General features: G+C 41.0%; 1 protein-coding gene across 2 annotated transcripts in view, besides 2 other annotated features; it reads left to right on the forward strand.

The window, feature by feature from the left end:
- SASH1 (SAM and SH3 domain containing 1) overlaps positions 1-25275 on the forward strand; it is a 358577-nt gene that overhangs the window by 34987 nt on the left and 298315 nt on the right. The gene's annotated exons all lie outside the window — the stretch shown is intronic.
- Positions 23787-24288: an enhancer, noted in NCBI's record as "H3K4me1 hESC enhancer chr6:148573377-148573878 (GRCh37/hg19 assembly coordinates)". NCBI's record gives its function as "activates a minimal SCP1, AML or CMV promoter by ChIP-STARR-seq in primed H9 embryonic stem cells {active_cell/tissue: H9 hESC(primed)}" and the evidence as "EXISTENCE:reporter gene assay evidence [ECO:0000049][PMID:30033119]".
- Positions 24289-24788: an enhancer, noted in NCBI's record as "H3K4me1 hESC enhancer chr6:148573879-148574378 (GRCh37/hg19 assembly coordinates)". NCBI's record gives its function as "activates a minimal SCP1, AML or CMV promoter by ChIP-STARR-seq in primed H9 embryonic stem cells {active_cell/tissue: H9 hESC(primed)}" and the evidence as "EXISTENCE:reporter gene assay evidence [ECO:0000049][PMID:30033119]".

Below are 25275 nucleotides of genomic sequence, written 5' to 3' on the forward strand. Positions count from 1 at the left end.
TGTGGGATGTCTCAAGAGTAGTACAAACAAAATATTGTGGCAAATTCAATAGAAGATAGACATTCTGAGAAGATCAGAGAATAGCCCATGAAAGAAGTGGTATTGGACCTGAGCTTGTCAAATGGATTTGGGGAGGTGGATAAGACTCCCCAGAGGTTCCAGCCACAGGATTAGGTCATGGTACAGTTAGCTGGAGCCATTACCAAGGTGTTCTTCAAGTGAGCGTTTTATGCTCCACCAGCATGTGACTTTAGCTCTTTTTCTCCATAAAAACATTGTTCTACAGTTTAATGTTTTTATGGAGAAAGACAGCATGCTTATTTAAATTGGTTTGTAGTACAAAGCAGGTAGAAATAGAGACTACACTTAATGACAGAGAAAAAAATCCAAGAAAATCTTGGCTGGGCGCAGTGGCTCATGCCTGTAATCCCAGCACCTTTGGAGGCCGAGGCGGGCAGATCACTTGACGTCAAGAGTTCAAGACCAGCCTGGGCAATGTGGTGAAACCCCATCTCTACTAAATAATGCAAAAACTTGGGCAACATGGTGCATACCTGTCACCCCAGCTACTGGGGAGGCTAAGGCAGGAGAACCACTTGAACCTGGGAGGCAGATGTTGCAGTGAGCCAAGATCGCACTACTGCACTCCAGCCTGGGCAAAACAGCAAGACTCCATCTCAAAAAAAAAAAAAAAAAAAAAAAACACTTAACTGGCTAAAATGACTGATGGGTTCTAACATGATAAAAATTTTAAAATAAATGTAAACTCTTAACTTTGATTTTTTTCAAGAAATTTCTGCCCAAGTACAGGATAGAATTGCCCTGGCTTAACAACAACTCACATAAAAGACTTGGGGAGGGTTAGTGGACTACATGTGACATGTCTACCCTAATGCTGATGCAAACTGTATTCATTTAGCCTAAAATGTATCATTCAACAAACATTTTTAAATTAACATTCGGGCAAAAAGTACTATACAAGGAAGTGGAGGTGTAACAATTGATAAAAATGATCCCAGTCCTAAGAGACATATAGCTTATATAGCTTATGATAGAGGTGAACAAACAAATACTAAACGTATAACACCAGAGTTATACCTCAACAAAGCTGTTTAAAAAAAAAGTGACGTCCAAATTTAGCAAACAGCTTTATTGAGATATAACTTGTATGCCTTATAATTTATTCATTGAAAGTATACAATTCCATGACTTCTCATATATTCACAAAGTTGTGCGACCAACACCATAATATAACGTCAGAGCACTTTTTTTTTTTTTTTTTTTTGAGACAGAGTCTTGCTCTGTCGCCTAGGCTGGAATGCAATGGTGCGATCTTGGCTTACTGCCTCCAGGTTCAAGCGATTCTCCTGTCTCAGTCTCCTGGATAGCTCGGATTACAGGTGCATGCCACTACACCCAGCTAATTTTTGTATTTTTAGCAGAGACGGGGTTTCGCCATGTTAGCCAGGCTGGTCTTGAACTCCTGATCTCAGGTAATCCACCCGCCTCGGCCTCCCAAAGTGCTGGGATTACAGGCATGAGCCACCACGCCTGGCCAGCACTTTTATCATCTATAAAAAAGACACAGTAACCATCAGTAGTCATTTCCTGTTCACCCCTAACCCAGCCCCTAAGCAACCACTAATCTACTTCCCATCTCTATAGATCTGCCTATTCTGAATATTTTATATAAATGAAATTACACGATATGTGGTCTTTTGTGACTGGATTCTTTCACGCACCACAATTCTTTGAGGCTCATCCATTTTCTATCCTGTGTCAGTGTTTCATTCATTTTTATTGCTGAATAATACCTCATTGTATGGATAGACCACACTTAATACGAACATTTGAATATTGATCAATATAAGAGATTTTTGTTTCTTTTTCTTTTCTTTTTTTTTTCAGAAATTGAGTTTCACTATATAGCCCAGGCTAGTCTCCAACTCCTGGGCTCAGATGAGCCTCCTGCCTCAGCCTCCCAAGTATTTGGGACTAGAGGTGGGTGCCACTGCTCCTAGCTATAAGTTTTTATGCCAATATATGTTTTATTTCTCTTAGGTATACATCTAGGCCATATAGTAACTCTGTGTTTAACATTGTTAGACATTGTCGAATACTGACAGTTTTCCAAAGTGCACCCTTGCGGCACCCTTTTACATCCTCACCAGCGCTATGTAAACAGGTTTCGAATTTTTCCACATTCTTGTGAACACCTGTCAATTTCATCTTTTTTATTATAGCCACTCTAGTGGGTGTCAAGTGGTATCTCATTGTGGTTTTGATTTGAATTTCCCTAATGCACTTTGTCCATTTGTCTTCTTTGAAAAAAATGTCTATTTGGATCTTTTGCCCATCTTAAATTGAGTTATTTATCTTATTATTAGTGATTTTTAAGAGTTATTTATTTATTCTGAATACAAATTCCTTATCAAATATATGATCTGCAAATATTTTCTCCCATTCTGTAGGTTGTCTTTTCACATTCTATTTTGTACTGTTTGCTACACAAAAGTTTTTAATTGTGTAAGATCTAACTTACCTATTTTTTCTTTTGTTGCTTGTGTTTTGGTGCCATATCTAAGAAACCACTGCCTAACCTAAGATCATGAAGGTTTACTTCTATGTTTTCTTCTAGGAGCTTTATGGCTTTAGCTCATATATTTGTGTCTATTATCCACCCGGAGTTAACTTTTCTGTGTGGTGTGAGAAAAGCGCTCAACTTTATTCTTTTGCATGTGGATATTCAGTTAATTCCAGCATTATTTGTTGAAATGTCTATTCTTTACTCACTTAATTGTTCTGACATCCTTGTTAGCAATCAATTGACCATACATGTTAAGGTTTATTTCTGGACCCTCAACTCTATTCCATTGATCTATGTCTCCTCTTATGCCAGTTCCATGCTGTCTTGATTATTGAAGCTGTGGACAAAATTTTGGAATTGGGAAGTGTGACTCCTCCAACTTTGTTCTTCATTTTCAAGATGGTTTTTCCTAATCTGAGTCCATTGTATTTTCATGATCAGCTTAGGACAACAAATTTTTAAAAGAATATTCATAAAGTGGAGTGGATCCAGAGGACATTAGAAGAAAGATTACAACAACTTGTGATGTTTAATCTGCAAGATGAAATATAAAAGTGGAATGCAAGAGATGACTTCACAGGCTTAAAATGTTGCTGTAATGTAGAAAATGATTTCAGTGAATTCTTTATTGCCCCAGATAGTTAAAATGATAGAAAGGTGAACATAAGCTCAGTATAAGGACGACCTTTAATACAACTAAACTCATTCATAAATAACTCACATTTTCTCACACACTGGCCCACCCAACCTTGAAGAGAGTCAAGTCTAGGCAAGATGACCTGTTCATCAGGAATGTTGTAGAAGAAATGTCATCATTGGAAGGAAGAAGATATAACTCTTTGATACGTGAGCATGAATAGCAGTGAGAAATGGATGCTGTCAGTGACTGTTACCTAATTAATCGTCCAACCATACGAGATGGATACTATTATTATTCATTTTGCTAGATAAGGAAAAAGGCTAGCAACTTGTCTAGCAGCACACAGTTAAAAAGTGACAAAGCTTGTCCTTGAACCCAATTCTGTTTGACACCAAAGTCCATGCTCTTACTCGGTATGATCTGGACAAGAGTTGTAGTGGCAGATAGAGGAAAAGAAATTAATATGAAAGATCACATCAAGGAAAAGGGACAGGAGCCATTGAATTGGCTGAATGTTGTCATTGACTAAGAGTATGTTACCAAAGATGAGTTTGAGGTTTCAAGCTTTAATAAGTAGGAGAGAAGGGAGGATTTATTAATAAGAATATGGAAGGCAATAGGTAAAACAGGTTTTGGTGGATGTGAAAAACAAGCTCATCCATTCAACAGGCAACTGTCGATATTCAGACTTGGGCTCGGGCCTACTGGCTCAAGAAGACATGGTTTGATCCTTCTTCTAGGTGAGTCAAGGATAACTGATTCTGAGGCTCTGAACCTGAAGTTCTAGGGAACAGAAGTAAGATTAACAGAAAGATAATCTGAAAGGAGACACTCTTTGGGGAAGAAACTGATACTCGGTGTTGTCGGGTATGTTAAATTTGAGCTGACAGTAAAACATGCAACTATGCAGAAGACAATTAAGATGTGGGACAGAGCCTTAGATGAGTAGATGGGATTGGCCCTCAAGAGGTGGCTGAAGACAAAGTATTAAATCTCTAAGCCAAAGATTGTGAGGAAGGAAAATCAGAGGACTTGGCACTTAGCTTTTCATCCTACAACCCCACTGTGCATCACCTAAAACTTGCAATGTGTACCTCAAAGATTTCCTAAAGTCAGTGCCCACGAGAAACTAGCTTTTAGTGTTTCTTTATTCAGAACTCTGAGCCTGGCACCTGGCAGAGAGCTTTTATATATAGTACATTATCTGGTATATGTAACAAAGATTGTATGCAGTTGGTATTCTCTCCAGTATATAGATGAGGAAACTGAAATTCAGAGAGGTTAAATAGTGAAGGAGGCCAAGGTGGGCGGATCACCTGAGATCGAGAGTTCAAGACCAGCCTGGCCAACATGGAGAAACCCCGTCTCTACTAAAAATACACAATTAGCCGGCGTGGTGGTACATGCCTGTAGTCCCAGATACTCGGGAGGCTGAGGCAGGAGAATTGCTTGAACCCAGGAGGCGGAGGTTGCAGTGAGCCGAGATCGCGCCATTGCACTCCAGCCTGGGCAACAAGAGAGAAACTCCATCTTAAAAAAAAAAAAAAAAAAATAGTGAAGCACAGCCAAGGGTAGAGCGAAGATTGAGACCCAGTCTGTCTGACACCGAAGTTCATGCTCCTTTCAGTACTGCAAAGCACCATGCTGTAGGGCTTTGCCCTCTCATCTGCCAGAGAAAGAGGGGGAAGCTTTCAAGCAGACCAGAACCTTCACCCACCCAGTGTCCACCTTTTTTCCTTTCTTCTTTCTCTCTTTTTATTCTTTCATACGTTCATATCGTTGAAAAATGTATATTGTGTATGTACTATGTGCCAATCATTGGTGATACAGGTAGGAACAAGAATCAACTCCTGCTTTCATGGTGCTTACAGAGAAGAGATAATTAAAGACATTAAGCAATGAATTACATGTTAATTAAAACTATCTAAATCAGCCAGGCATAGGGGCTCACGCCTGTAATCGCAGCACTTTGGGAGGCCAAAGAGGGAGGATTGCTTGAGGTCATGAGTTTGAGACCAGCTTAGGCAACACAGGGAGCTATGATGGCAGCTTCCTCTCTACAAAAAAAAAAAAAAAAAAAAATTAGCTGGACATGGTGGCACACACCTGCATTCTTAGCTACATGGGAGGCTGAGATGAGAGGATCTCTTGAGCCCAGGAGTTTGAGGCTGCAGTAAGCGATGATGGCACCACCGCACTCCAGACTGGGTGACAGAGTGAGACTCTGTTTCCAAAAAAAAAAAACTAAATGTTCCTCCCTTTATGTGATCCACAGAGAAAAAGAAAAAAATACTAGAAAAAGAGAGGAAGTGAGCATTTGCTGTGAAATGAGTACCACTTAGGTTTTTTTTGGGTGGGGATAGGGATACAATTTGAGACAGGGTCTCACTCTGTAGCCCAGGCTGGAGTGCAGTGGTGCCCTCATAGATCACTGCAGCTTTAAACTCCTGGGCTCAAGGAATCCTCTCACCTCAGCCTCCAGTGTAGCTGGGACCACAGGCACTGGCTTCACCATGCCCAGCCTACCACTTAGGCTAATTGCAGTATCCTAAGCTTGCCTTAGAATTACTATTTCTATTGAAAAGTACATTCTGAGTTGCAGTCCCTTTAAACCATCTCTTTAAAAAGCTAGCAAACTTAGCAAAGCTTTTTTTTTTTAGTTGATTCAAGTGTTAAGTTTGAATGTCATTGTGTGTGTGTGCATGTGTGTGTTTATACTGAATATCCGTATTTGGCTTCTATCACTGAGGTTTCTGCAAAGCATCTAGGGCTTGGCAGGATCCCTTCCTTTGCTCAGGGCATATCTGGGCTAGTCTGAGTTAACTTGGGGTGGGGAGGTGAGGATAAGAAGAAGGAGGAACTGGCCGGGCGTGGTGGCTCACACCTGTAATGCCAGCACTTTGGGAGGCCAAGGCAGGTAGATAACCTGAGGTCAGGAGTTCGAGACCAGTCTGGCCAACATGAGGAAACCCCATCTCTATTAAAAATACCAAAAATTAACCAGGCGTGGTGGCAGACACCTGTAATCCCAGCTACTCAGGAGGCTGAGACAGGAGAATCGCTTGAACCCGGGAGGCGGAGGTTGCAATGAGCCGAGACTGCGCCATTGCACTCCAGCCTGGGCAAGAAGAGCGAAACTCCGTTTCAGAAAAAAAAAAAAAAGAAGGAGGAGGAGGAACTGAAAGCTCAGGCCAAGAAGCTGGAGAACCTGGTGGGGTCTGAAAATGCTTATTCTCTAACATCAGAAATATTATCTAAAATGTACCCGTAATGGGTCTGTGGGCTGTCTTCGGTCCCAGGTGAAGTAGAATAGTATCCATTTTGGGATAATCTGATAACAAGCACCAACAATACATGGATTCTCCCTCCTCCTTGCTCAATACCGCCATTCTATGATTTTGGCTCAGAAGTTTAATAAAAACAATGGTCTACACCCCAGGAGCACTTGCGTCATAACGTGTCAATGGTAATCACATAACCAAACCCAATTCTGCAAAGAACGTAAGTGTTAAAAGACAATTGGTGTATGTGTATGGTGGAGGTGGATGGGGGTTGTAGGTAGATTAACAGCCCCTGATTGCTGACCTTATCTTATCATGTCATCTTAATCATTTGGCGTTAATCTCCTCAAATGTATTTAACTCACTGAAAGAAAAGACAAAATCAGAAAAATAAAATATCTCTAATCAAAAAGATATTTTCTGTTACTATCACTCCTTATTGTCCTTTTTAACCTACTCAATCATGGAGGCATAGCTAACACTATTATTTTTTCAGCATGATTATTTTCCACAGTATATGTTAAATTGATTAGAAACTGTATAATTTTTAAAATATGTATTTGTGCGTGGTTTTACATGTCTAAATTATACATGAACTCAGCAGTTTCCAGGATATAATAACATGTCCAGGAGCCCTATGGTTGGCTCTTACACATATATTTTGATGAGTCAAACCTACAGCTCCTTGTATTTCAGCCCACTTACTCACAGGGACCAGTACAAACATGTTTGTAGCAATGCTATTCAGTAAATAATTGTAGATGCAAAGAGTTGGAGAAGTCTTGCGAGTTAAGACCTTGACTCTCACAAGAACTCCTACTCTTCCACAATGGCCTTAAATTTTCCCCTTGGCTAGTTACACGTTATTTCTAGAACCTCTATTTTAAGTTTACTGGTGGACAAAGTCAATCAAACCTTATCGTGTCTCTCACTATTAAGGAAAATGTAAAACATACATGCAGAGACACTGTAGGCTAGTTTTCTTCTTATATTTTAAAATTCCTTCTTTGTGTTCAAGGACTCTGAAGGACCCTGTTCATTCATTATGAATATTAGGATTCAGAAAATAATGGTCTAATACAAGGACTCTTGGAGACTTCATAGCACCTTGGGGTTTGCATTTGCATGGCAAGGAGGGGTGTGGGTAGGAAATGGTGGCATGCAGGAAACTATCCCAAGCTATTCCAGAGGTCAGGGAACAGGAAGGAACACAGACTAAATTGGGCTGCTTAAATCACACAGTTTATTAAATTAAATTTTTTTTTTTTTTGAGATGGACTCTTGCTCTGCCACCCAGGCTGGAGTGCAATGGCACGATCTCGGCTCACTGCAACCTCTGCCTCTGAGTTCCAGTGATTCTCCCGCCTCAGCCTCCTGAGTAGCTGGGATTACAGGCACCCACATCATGCCTGGCTAATTTTTGTATTTTTGTAGAGACAGGGTTTCACCATGTTGGCCAGGCTGGTCTTGAATCCCTGACCTCAGGTGATCCACCTGTCTCAGCCTCCCAGAGTGCTTGGATTACAGGCATGAGCCACCACACCCGGCCTCACACAGTTTATTAAATTAATTTAAAACACACAGGGAAAAGCAAGGGGAAGGAGATAGAGTCAGTTCGTAAGGATGGGTTGCAGGCAGGTGACAGCAACCGCTTCTTGACTTCTGGACTATGCAAGCTCCAAACGTCCTGTCTTTCTCTACACTAACAGTGTGGTCAGGAGACCAGAGTTGAGGTTTGAGCAAGGGGGCCCACAGACAGAAGGCCTGCTGGGCCAATGACACACATTTGCTATGTCAGAGAGATGCAGGGATGCTATGGTTTGAATGTGCTCCCCAAAAAGCATGTGCTGGAAATGCAATCCCTGATGCCACAGTGTTAGGAGGTGGGGCCTCATGGGAGGTGTTTAGATCACGAGGGTTCCATCCTCATGAATGGATTAATGTGGATTATAAAAGGGCTGGGGGCTGTGAGTTCCATTCTCTCTCTCCAACTTTCTCTCTGGCCCTTCCACCATGCTATGACAGTAACAAGACCCTCACCGGATCTGGGCCCCTTGACCTTGGACTTCCCAACCTCTGGAACTGTGAGAAATACATTTCTATTCTTTATCAATTATCCCATCTGAGGTTATTCTGTTATAGCAGCAGAAAATGGACTAAGATAAGAAACAAGGACCCCCTGGCCAATTCACTTACTGAACAGTGAAAGGTTTTATCTGCATTTTTTTTTTTTAGCACAGTTCATGTGAAACTCAGAATGAGACCATATTGAGTTACCAATGAATGGCTCATCTAGAGATGACTGAGCTGTCAGCCTAGAGATAGAATGATCAAGACATATGACTTGACATTTCTATCTATAATATTCTTCCTTGTTCCAGCATATATTTCATGCATTCTGTTTATCTTTAACATGCCTCAGTATATACTACATTACTCTCTATCTATACTTAATACATCCTATAAGTTTTGCCTATATCGCATAAGGTACCTGCTTACTTACCAACTATGCCCAGGGTTTATGATGGATTTCATTATTCCATTTTTTTTGTCCTCTACAGCAGAATTGAATATTCTCAAGTAATGTCATAAATTCACATTATAACCAGTGTCGATTCTGATATAAATTTTTATTCCCACATTCATCAGGGAGCTAGAGAATTGAAAAAACCGCCATGCAAAGACACATCAGTTGTACATCTCCCTCATGGAGCTCACTTATCAACTATCAAACCCAAGAAGGCTAGACACAGCCTACCTGCTTTTAGGGCATGTGGTATCAGCAGACATGGGCAAAGGGACTGTCTAAAAATTCCCTGGACAGTAAGCTAGCTTTCCAGCAGAGCTAGTTGAAAGAGCCTGAAAATACCTGGCCCTCCATTTTCTCTCTGGCCTCCCCCTACCCTTCCAGGCCTCCTTGCTGTTCCTGCTTTATGACGGGTCTGCCATGTTTTCCAATGCACATTGTTCATAACACAATCCCAGTGGACACCACCTACATAGGGTACCATGAGAATAGCACACCCTGAAAATGGGCATCAGGGTGGCCCTAGCTAGAGCTTCTGCACTTGCTGTTTTGGGGGCTGGAATGCTCTTCCCCATATGACCTTACGGCTTGTTACTTTTTCTTCAAGTTTTTACTCAAATGTAACCTTCTCACTGAGTTTTATCACTTTATTTAAATTACAGCTATCACCTTCCACCTCAAAGCCTCCTATCCCCTTTTCCTAGTTTCACCCCATAGTACTTACTTTATTTTATTTTATTTTATTTATTTTTGAGATGGAGTCTCTCTCTATTGCTCAGGCTGGAGTGCAGTGGCGCAATCTCGGCCCACCACAACCTCCGCCTCCCAGGTTCAAGCGATGCTCCTACCTCAGTCTCCCAAGTAGCTGGAATTACAGGCATGCGCCACCATCCCTGGCTAATTTTTGTATTTTTAGTAGAGACAGAGTTTCATCATGTTGGCCATGCTGGTCTCAAACTCCTGGCCTCAGGTGATCCACCTGCCTCAGCCTCCCAAAGTGCTGGGATTACAGGCGTGAGCCACCGTGCCTGGACTTTTATTTTCTTTTAATATACCATATGAAGTTTTCCACACATTTTAGTCATTATATCTTACCCACCCTGTCCCTAATGTGTGTATGTGTCATACACACACATACACACACACACACACACACACACACACACACACACATCCCAAATTGTAAATTCTATGAGAGAAGGGATTTTTATGACTTTGCTCATTGCTGAGTTTCCTGGACTAGAAAAGGGCTTGGCGTACAGTGGGTTCTCATTGAATATTCATTTAATACATCTACCCCACTCTTTTGTCACATCTAGGCACGTTCCTCTGCTACTCACCCAGCCTCCATTCCCGGTGAGTTGGGGAACTACAAATATGGGTAAGCTCAAAAATAGCTCCCAAAAGTCACTCTGGGATACGCTGTCATTCAATGACCAAAAGAGCAGGCAGATTGCAGGGAGCTGGGCAGAGGTATGGTCGGATAGAAGCAGAGACAAAAACTGTGAATCTGCAAAGTACCGAGTATTCACTGGCCCATGAGTTTGCCATGCCAGATGGTTAGCTCAACTAGGGACATTAGAGTTACTGAAACTCTATCACGGGACCTCATTTTGAGGGGCTTCTGAACTTATTTGAGGTAGGGCTTTGCGCTCACTGATTCTACGTACATTTGTTTGACTGAGAGACATATTTCTTTGGTCTAAGGTGAGGGTTGTTTGTTCTGTAGGGACTCATAATCACTAAGTAGTTTGGGGATGTGGGTATTTCCTAAAGGAAATGATAACATAACAGTGTGATCCTTCCAATAGGAATATAATAATCCTGTCCCGTTGTCACCATGATATGGCCTTAGGATGTTTTTCTAGAGGGAGTGTTGGCTCAGGGCTGCCCCTCCCACACGCTCCTAGCACCGTGCTCTCCCGTAACAGGGCGTGGATTTGAAAGAAGCCTGACCAGCTGAACCTCTGTGAAAGGGAAGCTGGCTTAGCTTTTGAAACCTTCTTCATTCTCAAAATCTGGACTCCTTTTCATTGTCAGAGTTCTGGAGCAGGCACCAGACATGTTGAATTCTACTCCAGGTCTGGCTCACACTTGCCAATCAATCTCCAGCAAATCACTGTGCGCGAATCATTGTCTTTCTTGTTTTTAGTTCTTTCATCTGTAAAAGTAGCACCTTGCTAATCAATGTCTCAGCCATGACATATAGATCGGCTTTTTTTTTTTTTAATTAACCAAAAATGGTTCATAAAATGACTTTAGGAAATGTTATCATGCTATAATAGTGCTTCTTTTTTATTTCTACTTGCAAAACCTATCTTCATTCCCTCCTCTGCCTAGCTAGGACGCCTAGGGAACACCTAAACTTCCAGCAAATATTGTCCCTGCCTTGAGCTACACTCGGGTGCTCACACACAAGCCAGATGGGAGCTGTTGAGTGTCAGTGTTGACCAGTGCTCATGCCCCAGCCCTGGCCCCGTCACCTCTTCGGCATCACCTGCATCTGGTTCATCTCCCAGGACACTGACGTGTGGCAGTAAGACAGAAAGCTTGTACCATGTGTCATTCTGTCCTGTAAAAAAATGCAGTTATATCAGAGATCTGTCATTCAAAGATTCTAAACAAAACAATTCCTATGCCTAAGAGGAAGAACATTTCTGTTGTTTTGTTTGCTTTTTTTTTTTTTTTAACCTGAACCAGTGCCTCACTGGGGAAAGGAAACACTCAAATGCTCAAAGCCTAGGTCTAAACATTGTCCCCACACAGTGTTGATCAACACTTGGCCCGAGGTTGCACTGCAGTTTTAGTTGTCTGGGTTAAGTGTAGGGTAAATTCAAATTCTCACTGTTTTCATGGAATAATTGCTAATGAATATAATCATCTTCCAATGTCATCTGTTTCATTTGAAAGTTGGCAGGAATGAAGAAGGCAGCTTTCTTTAGAAATGATTAGAACATGGTTATTAGGGTGAGGTCATTGGTTTACAATTAAGTCATTATTTTCCCCCTACAGTTATAATAACAGTGATGGAACCCAGAATCTTGTTGCTGGCTCTTTGGCAAAAGAAGATCAAATTTTCAGAGTTTGGGCTGCCTTCCCTTAGTTGAAGGAATATTTTCCCACACCCGAGGCTGCTGGTGGGTGGCTGTCCCTCATACCACATGCATTTCTCTATGCGTCAGGGCTCTGCGGGCCAAGACGACTCACAGTATTCGCCAACTTGGAGCTGAAGGCTTTTCAACATGATAAAGAGGAAGATATTTTAAATTAAATTCCCGTTTGGCATTATTGTCATTTGATCTGTCCTGGGCTAATAAAGGGAAGAGCTATTCTTTAAAGAAAGAGAAAAGGCATAGCCAATGATTTTGTGCTCCCCATGAAAGAAAAATATCTTCTTGCTGGGTTTAGGAAAAGTTATCGGCTTCAGACCTCTAGGCAGGATTTAATTTCCCACATCATTATTTTTGCCTGCATAGTCACCATTTTTTTAAAGTTATGTTTTTATCTCTTTTCCTCTCTTACAAACAAAACATGTCAAAGTCTTCACAGACCTATTTTTGGCAAGCTCTGAAAAATCTGTAAAATATTTAAAGGCCATCAAGGGGAAAAAAAATATCCACTGGAATTAGAACCATCAGATTCTAGGTACTCATTGAAATAAATACAATTTCAAATTCTGCTGCCCCATTAAAGATTGCTTTTATTTATTTGCGGGTTTGAGATGAAGAAATAGTTGGAAGAGGCTGGAAATAGGAACTGAGACTCGCCTTCTCATCCAGGCTATGTAGTTAACTAGTTGTCATGCCCTGAGCAAGTCACTCAGCCTACCTGAAAAGCTGGATTATATACATATTAAGAACTCTAACAAGCCAAATGCCTCCAAGCAAGTGGGCACATACAAGTGCTGAAGTCATACATTTTGCAGTTGTACATCTAGAATTGTCTTAAAATACATGCATTGAGATGAGAACTCCTAGGCAAATGGCATCTCCTCTTGCTTTTAAAACTTGAGATTTATAGACCCCTTGAATTGTGTCTAAGAAATTCATAGCAATATGCCCATTGTAAAGTCTCAGGGTACCCATTTATATTCTGTATAAATATTTAAACAGAGAATTTGAACACAGATAGTCATCAGAAATGAAGCGAGCTGCAATATCATATAGCTGCATAAAGCAGTAAAACTTCATAGTTAAGAGGGCAGGTTCTGGAGCCACGCAATTGGGGTTCAAATCTCTGTTCTGACATTTATTAGCTCTGTGACCTTGGGAAGTTGACTTAACTCCTTCACGCTTCAACCTTCTTATCTGGGCATGGGGCTAATTCCAGTACCCACCTCGTATGACTGTTGTAGGGATTCCAGTAGATCATACATTTGTATCAATTACCTCTATTACTGGCACAGCAGCAAGCGTTCACTAAATGTTAAATGTTATTTTAATAACCTGAGAATTGGGTCAAAAATGAAGAGCATGAGACCCCCATCCATGAATTATTACTTTGATCTTCTTATGATTTCATATCTGATAGAAAGAGGTAAACAAAATGGTCATGAATGATCTTTGTTAGTTTCTTGGTGCCTTAGTTGTTTCCACACACGGACATCGTAAGATAATGTAGGACTATTCAGGATTAACTGTAGTCAACCAGTCTCTTGCTATTTACATGCAACTAACAAGCAAATGGTGAGGACTTGACTAGTAGTGCTAAGGGATCATTTTCCTTGTGTAAGTAACAAGCTAAAATAAAGTCATTGTGATTCAGAGAAACAGAAAGGGTGGGAAAATATGTGAACGACTTCTCCATTCCAGTGGGAACCTGGATGGAAACCCTCTTTTTGGAAGCCAAGAAGGCAAAGTTCCATTTTTTCTTGGCAAGGCACTTTACGAGACTCTGAGTGTCTTTGGACTCTGTATTTTGGTAGCTTGGAATTAGCCTGGGAACACTTTCATGCCCAAGTGATTTGAGAATCTCTCCCTTAATAACAAAGACTCCAATTTCTAGTGTTCAATCTTTCTCAAGGCCAAGTAAAGCGTCCGTTTGCATCTGTTTCAAGTCCCCTTTCACTTGCTTTTCACACCTCAATGTTTATCACAGCTTTCAAAGAAAGCACGTTTATCATTCACAAGGTTATTTACAAGTTAAGAGATGACCTCAATATTCCATTGTAGTTCTTTCAAAAAGGGTAGCTGCCACTATAACAAATACATATCGCAATTTATTCTGATCTCTTCTCTGGTGGAATATACTATGGGGGCCTCAGGGTCCCTTATGCCGTTGGTTCATCTACAGATAGACACTATTTTTTTAGGATTCTTTTTCTCTATGAACTAGCCCAAGCCAAAAAAGGGAAAATCATTTCTTCCTTAAGGACCATGGGCTCTGGCTCTATGCTGGGTAAATCTGTGTTCTCCAGTTTATTGGCACTCAATATGTGATTTTTTTTTTAACTCTTACTAATGGTATAAATCCCATAGGTTGGCTACCTCTAAAAACAGGATGTTTTGGCTGGCTGATTGTATGGGAGAATTAGAATTCCATGTTGGGTAGGTACAGTGGCTCCCGCCTGTAATCCCAGCACTTTGGGAGGCTGAGACAGGCGAGTCACTTGAGGTCAGGAGTTTGAAACCAGCCTCACCAACATGGCGAAAACCCATCTCTACTAACAATACAAAAATTGGCCAGGCACGGTGGCTCATGCCTGTAATCCCAGCACTTTGGGAGGCCAAGGCGGACAGATCACCTGAGGTCGGGAGTTCAAGACCGGCCTGACCAACATGGAGAAACCCCGTCTTTACTAAAAATACAAAATTAACTGGGTGTGGTGGCTCATGCCTGTAATCCCAGCTACTCGGGAGGCTGAGGCAGGAGAATCGCTTGAACCTGGGAGGTGGAGGTTGAGGTGAGCCAAGATAGTGCCATTGCACTCCAGCCTGGGCAACAAGAGCAAAATTCCATCTAAATAATAATAATAATAATAATAATAATAATAGTAAAACAAAAATTAGCCAGGTGTGGTGGCATGTGCCTGTAATCCCAGCTACTCAGGAGGCTGAGGCAGGAGAATCGCTTAAACCCAGGAGGTGGAGGTTGCAGAGAGCCAAGATCACGCCACTGTGCTCCAGTCTGGGCAAACAGAGTAAAACTGTGAAACTGTGTCTCAAAAAAAAAAAAAAAAAAAAAAAAAAAGAATTCAATGTGATCAGGAAACTTGAAATCCTGCTTTAAAGTTGGACTTCCACCTTTAGCTCCCTAAACAAACGTGACAGTCATTATTGAGCTTTATAAACGTGTTAGTAATTGGGAGACTATGGAAATGAGGAATGGCCAGTTTTATGTTTTAGAGAAATGATGCCAGGAAGACCACTCTTTCATTAAATCAAATCTGATCCTCCACATTAGGCTATGCAGGGAGACTTGCCATGTGGGAAGCGCCTGGCCCACCTGGCCAGGATTTGGAGTCTCTCCTCTGACAACTACACCAGCCTCAGGGGACACTCTCTGCCTCAACTCTGTTGGCAACCACTGATGAGATTGGTTTCTGAGTTCCCCAAAGCACTCTGAGACTAGGCTGAAACATGTAAAGAAAACCCCATTAAATGACTAGGAATAGCAAAAAGAATAAAATAACCCACAATTTTGTTCTTTGCTCTCAACACAGCACTTGACCATCTTCCCCCTTTCCCAGCTCTAAGCCTGCATCCATGTGGCAAGGCCATTATTCCCCTCTACCAGGCAGGACCCGAAAGTATGCTTAGACTCCTGGAAGCCTAGACCTTACCACCTACTAGGTTTTGGTATCCTGTCTTCAAACACGTATATTCCTTGCATGTTTACACTGGAAAATGTATCCCTATCATGCAGAGGAGACCGGCTTTATTCACAGGCCTTGGTCTTTCCCATGGCCTCAACAAGACAACCACATCAGAATACTACATGCACATATTGATGGATGAACACACCCAGCGGTAGGACGTTGTTTTATTATAAAGGGTTATTATGATGATACAAATGTCACAGACATTTAGAGAGTGGGCCAGTGTTCCTGGGTGCTAAGGCGTTGTTTGCAGCTCTAGTGGGAGGCAGAGGAAGGTACACATTGTAGGCCTCCGTTTCTTTAATAGGGAAGACCCTCTTAAAGAGGGTGCAGCAGTTTGGAGAAGAAGCTCCTGCTGTTGTTGTTGCTGCTGTTGTTTCTCCTGGGGCCACGTGTCTGACTGCTCCTATTTCAGGGCAACTGGGTCACAGCTGTGCTGCCGGCCACAGGGCTTCTCTAAGCATAGGCCCCAAGGGCGACATGAGAAAAGCCACCTGACAGAGTGGATTCTTGCTTTGCCTGGCTGTAAGGAAGAAAGAACTTCATTTGCCCTAAGCTGTTCACAGGTTCTGGGGCCTGGGGCCTGAGGCCTGGGGCATGTGTGTGTGTGTGTGTGTGTGTGTGTATGTGTGTGTGTGTGTGTGTGTGTGTGTGAGAGAGAGAGAGAGAGAGAGAGAGAGAAAGATTACAAGCTGTATCTTGGTATTCCTTTTTCAAATCCACATTCCATTACCCCATGTTCAACTCAGTTGGTTTCCAGGAGCCCTCCCAAGAGAAACAGCTGCTTGATGCCTTAAAGAGGAAATGTTAAAAGCTCTTGAGATTTAGAATTTTAGAATCTGCAGGGTTGATAACTTCCTCTCTGCTTATGAAAACAAATAGCACTAACTCCTCTTTCTCGACACAAACACGGTTCCCAAATGATTGTTTTCCTCTCTCAAATACGGTTCTATCAAGGAAGAGCAGATAACACCAGGTAGCCTGCAATTAAGTTGTAGATGCTAATAATAAAATCGGTTCTTGGTATTATAGCATGGATACTGTTCATCATTATGCTGCAATTGAAAAGTGATACAAAGATAGAGACCAGAGAACTTCCGCTTGAGGCTAGACGGTTTCCCACCTTTGAGATACAAAAGGTCAATCTAACACAAGTGATTACTGATTTGGAAGCATTAAGTTAGAACAATTAATTATCCCATAGTAAATGCATTACTGGTTGTCTCTCCTGGGGTTCTTTAGTAAGGTTGAGTTATAGAACTGGCAGTGTAGCTCTTAATAACTGAAGGGACTTTTTTCTTTCGGAAGACATGTTAGTGAGAAGGGGGTAGTGTTTTGGTACGGTTTGGTTTGGGTTGGGTTTGGTTGCCAAGTTTGAGAAAACAAGAATTAAGCTGGGGGCCAGGTGCGGTGGCTCGTGGCTGTAATCCCAGCACTTTGGGAGGCCAAGGCGGGTGGATCACGAGGTCAGGAGATCGAGACCATCCTGGCTAACACAGTGAAACCCCGTCTGTACTAAAAAATACAAAAAAATTAGCCGGGCATGGTGGTGGGCGCCTGTAGTCCCAGCTACTCGGGAGGCTGAGGCAGGAGAATGGCGTGAACCCGGGAGATGGAGGTGAGCCCAGATCGCACCACTGTACTCCAGCCTGGGCGACAGAACCAGACTCCGTCTAAAAAAACAAAAAAAAAAGAAAAAGAAAAAAAAAGAATTAAGCTGGGAAACATCTGCTTATCCCTAACACATACACAAACACACATGTGTACACATACATGCATGCTCAGACTTCATATTTTTCTCTTCTCTTCTCTTTTCTCTCTCTCCCTGTCTCTCTCTCCTCTCTCTCTCTCTGTCTTATAGATTACCCATATTCTTGAGAGTTGACAGAACAGTGGATTCAGAAACAAGAGCTAACAGGAATAAGTAGAAGTCTTTTCATTGTCATTTATCTTATCGTCATTCAGTTCATGTATTTTCCTCTGGCAATTCTTTTTAAACAGAATGTTTCCTTTAGAATTGTTTCTTTCTCTCAACTTCAGCCCGAAAATTTTAAGGTAGTGGGGTAATGTTTATGTGTGTGTGCTTTAAAACAAACAGTAGACCTTTCTGGGTGTTGAAAATGATTAGTGACAGCATCAATACCATTCATTTGTGTTATTTCACACATTTTTCCATAAAGGGATTCATCCCAGGACTCATTTATTCTTGATTCAACTCATTTCTCATCACTAGCTTTTGGTGCCAAGTACAAAAGGAGTTTCAATCCTCCTAAATATTTGCAGATCAGATAGACATAAAATAATAGAGAGACTATTCTATAGTAAAAAGAAAATATTTTAAGGAAGGGATTACTTTGTATCAACCACAGTCAGGTTCATAATTTATCTGACATGCTTGTAAACAAACAGCTGAAAGATCTTCAGCCTCCAAAATATTATGAATACTTTTGCAATGAAAAAGTAAATGTGTTCAAAAACAAAATGATTTGTAAATTTAACTAAAAGTTTGCGTCGCTACGAGTTTACTGGTATCCAAAGAATATCACACACTTTTTGTTTCCATTTACTGATTCATCAAATATTTATTGAGTCCTTAACCTATGCTATGTACTTGTACTAAGTGTTTGGAATGCAGATGGCCCTGCTCTCAAGGAGTTTACAATCTAGTGGGGAGACAAATAAACAGTTCCAATAAAGTGCTGCTGAAAATAAGGGAAGAAGGCCAAGGGCGATGGAATGGACTGTCTATCCCTGAGGACACAATGTTTATTTTAGTCAATTTGCCATGGTCCATGGACTAGCTTCACAGACTTAGAAACCTTGGCATAGGTGAAGATTGTCTCTCAGAAGTGAATTCCCATTGGCCAAGTAATTAGAATAACTAATAGTAAACTAGAATGCGAATTTATTAATTTGCCCTGAGAAATAGAACTGCCCAAGAAATGAGATCCTTAAGTTCAAGGTTCAGCACACCATAGGCAGCCACAATGCAGCTAAATTACAATAAGAAGGCTTCTTGGTAAGCATGAAATAGAAGAAATTAAGGTTCGATGAAAGATCCTGAGAAATTATAATGACACCAAGCTAAGATAGCCTGGTACCTCCATCTCCTAAAATGGGGAGACCTGACGCTGTGATGGCAGAAGTCAAAGCTGGGGACAAGAGCACCTCCTCTAGTGGACAGTGAGCACCTTCAGGCCACAGCCGGAGTTGGCCCATCCTGAACCCCTTATGGAGACGCCTTTAACAGTTGCCATCCCCCTTTATTGGCTGGGTTGATACTCAGCTGGAATGCAGTTGTGGTCATATCCGGGGCCTAAAATCTGGTTTTACTGGGGCCTAAACCTTATACAAGTTTGTGGGGCCTCTTAAAGAAACAATAAACCTTTATGAGTAAAAATTAATTATGAAAGTAAATATTTCTTTGGAAAGTTCCCATGCAAGTGGGGACTCATTTATTTCATAGAAACTAAAACCGAATGTTAAGTTATGGAAATACTTTCATGCTACTGTAGTTGATAAAGCGCTGCCACCCTGGCCACTCTGGCCCCTCCCTGGGAAACCCTAGACCTCCTCAAATTCCAGCAATTAAAGGATTAAAGGCTGAGAGTATACCATCTGTTCTGAGCATGGTAATTGGTAAATATGTTTAATGAGTATCTCTTTTTTAGACATTGGCATATATTTATGATGTACTGCATTATGTATTGATTTTGCCATTTAATTCTCAATGCTAAGCCCTTATTTCAAGTTCTTGGAAACCTCACAGTCACCCCTGAATGCTAACAATTCATACAAGTCCGAAATATTTAACATTTCTTTTACAATCCTCCAAACTGCCAAAGAATGGAGCTGAGTGAAAGCTTTATCTCTTAAGCAGTACTGGTTTCTAGAGCATTCCCAACAAGATCTCCTAAGAAAGAAGCTTGGTGAGGGTGGTAATTGGTGATAGTGCAGCCTAGGGTCCTGAAGGACTAGGAGAGAAGGCAGTAAGGGCATTTTCCTGTTTGTTTATTTTAATCCAAGAGCCGGTACAAAGCTTTCCCCAGGGGAAATTTGATATGTTATTAAAAGAAGAAAGAATGGGTGTTCAGTGAACAACAAACAGCAAACACATCCTCAATAATTCTAACTCTTTGCGGCATAACGTGCAGAATTCTGCCATAAGGGTACAAGTCCTCAAAATCTACCCTCTACCTGATACAGGTACATTTGTCAGGGGGTAGGTGGAACATTTTTCTTGTATCTTTATAAAGAAGCAATTACCATATTTGACTGTGGTACTTAATTTTCCACAAATTTCCCATCAGCTTGGTGTAATGTTGTTCTTTGGAACATTTGCAACATTTTCAACTTCATCAAGTCAAAAAGAACAGTTTATGAAAGCAGTCACTTCCCCCCACAAGCCTCAGAAGGAGCTTCATTTGGTGCTAAAGCATCTCCATATGATTTGTAGCTGTGTTTCCCAAGGGGAAGATATACAAAGGACACTGTGAGAAAATCTGCTCCTTATTTAAACTGTGAAGTGTTGGTAGAACTACCTTCTTCTGACAATCAGTGAGGACCACTGTGGATGTTAAATGCAAACAAGCAAACATTGTATTTTTTTTGTATTCTGTCCTTTTAAAACTAATTTATACAAAATCTCCAATTAGGATTCAATATTTTACATACTGAGAAAACATAGTGTGTGGTTCCTAGAAATTTAACAGTTTACATAGTATAGAACCTGGCTCACAGTGAATGTTTGATGAATAACTGATGAATGAATGAATGAATGAATGAATGAGTGACTAAAGAAGCACGCCAGCAAAATGGCTTTCTCCCTGAGAAGGCTCACAGATTAAAAAAATAAATTTACATTTTTTACTTATTGTCTAACAAAGAATATACAGGTCCTAGAGCAGTGGATGACAATTTTGCTAAACGAATGAATGACAGCATAATTTCCCTGAGGGGAGAAGCTGCTTATCAGAATGAATACTCCTGCAGAGACTGTAGATGTGAGTGCATGTGCACGTGTGTGTGTGTGTGTGTGTGCATGCATCACACACACATGCGCACGTGGGCTGATAGGGGAGACTTGGAGGAATTGGGAAGTGGCATTTCAGAGCTACAAAAAGGCTCATGTGTAAACAGTCTGTGTGATCAAGCCAGGTGTTCAATGCTTCTAGGAGCCAGGGTACCAAGGTACACTGAGAAAAGCATAAGCTTTCGGTCTAGACAGATAGGGGTACGAATCTGCAACTTACCAGCCATTTGACCTTGACCGATTTACCTTACCTCCCTACGCCTCAGTTAACTCATCTTAAAGCAGTGATAATAACATTTACCTCTCCAGGTCATGTCTGAGAAACAGAGGTAATGATGGCAAACTCTATTACATGCCAGGCACTGTTCTAAGCACTTTATGTACATTACCCTGTTTCAACCTCACAAGAGCCATGTGAGACAAGACACTGTCTTTGCAAATGAGGAAAACAGACAAACAGGGGTTAAGTAATTGCCTAAAATATATAGCCTAGGGCCTGTGCACCGCGGATTCTCAATAGACAGTAATGGTCATTATTTATGGTCACAGTCCTAAGTGCTTTACATTCATTCTCTCATCTGATCCTCGAAGAAAACATATGTGCTTAGAATGGTGCCTGGCATAAGGCAGGTGTTTGATAAATATTTGTTAAGTGAGTGAATGAATCTTCACTTTACAGCAGAATTAACTGAGGGTTAAATACTTGCCCAAAGCCACACAGCCTGAATGTGAACCCTGCAGATGAACTCCAGGGCCTGTGCTCTTAGCATTGCCAGTCACTTACAGTCTCTGCCCTCATCCCTCTGGCATCAGAGACAAGAAAGGTGCAGATAGGGGGAGGGGCACAACACCTGGGCATATCAGAATCATCTCAAGAAACCAAGACAGACTGTCTTCAGGGTTGTTTAGAAAACACGGAAGCATTCATCTTTTCCTTCCTCTTGTTCTGTCTTTTTCATCTCACCCTGGATATCTGCCTCGGCTCCTAAAAATCTTTGCTCTGCAACCTCCAGTTTCTAATTCTGGCTAACAGAGAGAAAAATATTAGAAATCGTACTCTCAGAGATCCATCATTCAGCTAAGACTTCTTAAGGGTTCTTAAGTAATCAGCCATTTGAGGTTTAGGATTATATTTGAGAGAAGAGTGCTGTGATGAGTGAAGAAGTATGTGATCCATTTGAATACACAATTCTCACAGGCTGCAAATAACCAGGCCTAAAAAAGCCTTAGTCTTAAAAAAAAAAAAAAAAACTGTATTTAAAAAAAAAGAATGAAACATTACTGAAAAAATGATACAGTGGCTGTAATTGAACATTCCTGTTGAATTAATTACTTTGACATGCATTATTTCTATAGTATTGATAGGTGGGCAGAGCTTCCAAAAACTATTTATTTGATTTAGAATTAGAAACCATCATGGGTATTTGCTTCTAGCTGGGTGGACGAATTGTTAAATTCTATCATCCCTATCCCTAGTGTTTCAGTAACTTGGTATGATTAAGCATGGATAAAAGCTAAAATTTTAAAAAGAAAGAAAAGCTCATTACCAAATCCTGAACAGCTTCAGTAACTTTGTGCCGGTCTCTGAAGGACATTTGTGCCTTGTTATGACAAGGAATTATTCATAATGTGTGCCTAGCATATAGATTGCATCCTTTATTTGAGACAATAAAAGAGTCATCCTTAGTAGCTGATGGAAATAAATAGGCAAGCAAAATTTAAAGGGAAGAAAAAAAGACCAACCAATAGGCCCCTATAATAATTGCTTGTCAGTGTAACATCAAGTAGTTCATCCTTTTAGGAACTCGTTATGTGGCTAGCCCATTATGTTCTCCGGATAGAAAAGAAAAAATGCAGTAATTCACAGAAAAGCAATGACAGGATTCTGCCAGTTTACCTAATAGTATTGACTAGACAGGAGAATTATGGCTTACAAACAAAGAGTGATTCTGTATTTGGAATTGTTTTGCTCCCTTTTTGTCCAATCAGAATTTTTTTCATTTAAAAAGTATCAATACCCCTGAAAAATATCAAATATACCACCAACAGCTTTTTGATCTGACTATAAGAGTGCACAGTTTCTAGATTCTTGCTCAATTACTTGCTTACCGAAACCTCTGCTGTGGCTAGGAGAAAATAGATGCTATACTTTAGTGCCCCTTGCTGGTCAACCTGAAGAAAATTGGAGCATAATGACTCCAAGAACCCAGGTTTCAATAAATGGAGTGGCAAGTTCTATTCAGACGGGTAAGAAGCCAAACTGATGTGGCCAAAACATCTGCAGCTAGTATGAAGAATCATTACAATGAGATGAGGCATTTGGAAATGCACATATTTTCTTTTTTTTTTAAATTATTATTATACTTTAAGTTTTAGGGTACATGTGCACAATGTGCAGGTTAGTTACATATGTATACATGTGCCATACTAGTGTGCTGCACCCATTAACTCATCATTTACATTAGGTATATCTCCTAATGCTATCCCTCCCCCCTCCCCCCACCCCACAACAGTCCCCAGAGTGTGATGTTCCCCTTCCTGTGTCCATGTGTTCTCATTGTTCAATTCCCACCTATGAGTGAGAACATGCGGTGTTTGGTTTTTTGTCCTTGCGATAGTTTACTGAGAATGATGAGGAAATGCACATATTTTCTTACAGAGGAAAAAGTGCAATAGAGAGAAAAGCTACACGTTAAGTCTTAGCCTAACTTAAATCCCGGAAATGCATTCCTATGAATGCACCCATATGAAGTAAACTCTTTCTAGTCTTGACGTATGACTTTGCTTGATTATGTCTCCAAAAACGTATGTGGCCTCTCGAAAACCACAAGGGAAATGATAGATACCCACAAATCCCTAGTGGAATTCTCAGTTCAAATTAAATTCCAAAAATAATGCAAAAACTTCTTTCTACAGAGGAAAAAGAGTATATGTACAGTAATGCATTAGATAATCGAAAATAACATTATAACCTATAACAAGCGAATTCTGATTACGGTGAATTTTCTTCCCTGTTTGCCATTTTTTTAGGATGTGATTATATTACTTTAATAATTCAAAAACAACAGCTACATCATGGCTATACTGACACCATCAAAGCTAATTATTTGTTTTTTATTGTTGTTGTTGTTTTGTGGTTTTTTTTCTTTTTTTTTTTTGAGACAGAGTCTCGCTTTGTCGCCCAGGCTGGAGTGCAGTGGCATGATCTCAGCTCACTGCAACCACCACCTTCCAGGTTCAAGCGATTGTCCTGCCTCAGCCTCCCAAGTAGCTGGGATTATAGGCGCTTGCCACCACGCCTGGCTATTTTTTGTATTTTTAGTAGAGGCAGGGTTTCGCCATGTTGGCCAGGCTGGTCTCAAACTGCTGACCTCACGTGATCCATCCGCCTCGGCCGCCCAAAGTGCTGGGATTACAGCCATGAGCCACCATGCCCAGCCCAAAGCTAATTATTAATAACTCTTAGGATTTCAGAGTAAGCCATCAGACCTAACACATCAACCCTATTTGGAACACTATGAGAGCTGGACTTAGAATTTCATCTCCTCCCTCACAAGGTACCCATCAGGAATTTGGATTCACAAGATCCAGCTCTAGGACCTAGAAAAAGTCCATTCAGGCAGACTGAATAATTCAGTGGCACAGGGGGACTAGCCCGTGGGGCAGCCTCGGCACACGTGCAAGCCACCCTCAGATGCTCAGCCTGCAGATAGACTCTGGAACCAGGCACCAAAGATAGCTGGTCCTTCAAAAGCCTTGCAAGCTTCATGGGACCTAGAATAGCCAAAACAGTCCTAAAAAAGAAGAGCAAAGCTAGAGGACTTTCATTTTCTTATTTCAAAACTTACTACAACGCTACAATGTGGTGCTGGCATAACAACAGATATATAGATCAGTGGAATCAAATTGAGAGTCCATAAATAAACCCTCATGTTTATGGTCATTTGATTTTCATGTAGAGGGCCAAAACAATTCAACTGGGAAATGAGTAGTCTTTTCAACAAATAATGCTAGGTAACTGAATGCAAAAGAATAAAGCTGGACCCCTACCTTACACTATATACAAAAACTTAACTCAAAATTAAAGACCTAAATATAAGAAAACTATAGAACTATTAAAAGAAGATACATGAGTAGATCTTACCTTAGATTTGGCAATGATTTCTTAGAGATGACACGAAAAGCAGAAGAAATGAAAGAATGTGATTTCACTTCATCAAAACTAAAACCTTTGTACTTTAAAAGACCCATTGGCCGGGTGCGGTGGCTGATGCCTGTAATCCCAGCACTTTGGGAGGCCAAGGAGGGTGGATCACAAGATCAGGAGTTTGAGACCATCCTGGCCAACATGGTGAAACCCCATCTTTACTAAAAATACAAAAAATTAGCTG

Source organism: Homo sapiens, chromosome 6 (assembly GCF_000001405.40).
Source record: "Homo sapiens chromosome 6, GRCh38.p14 Primary Assembly".
Classification (NCBI taxonomy): Eukaryota; Metazoa; Chordata; class Mammalia; order Primates; family Hominidae; genus Homo; species Homo sapiens.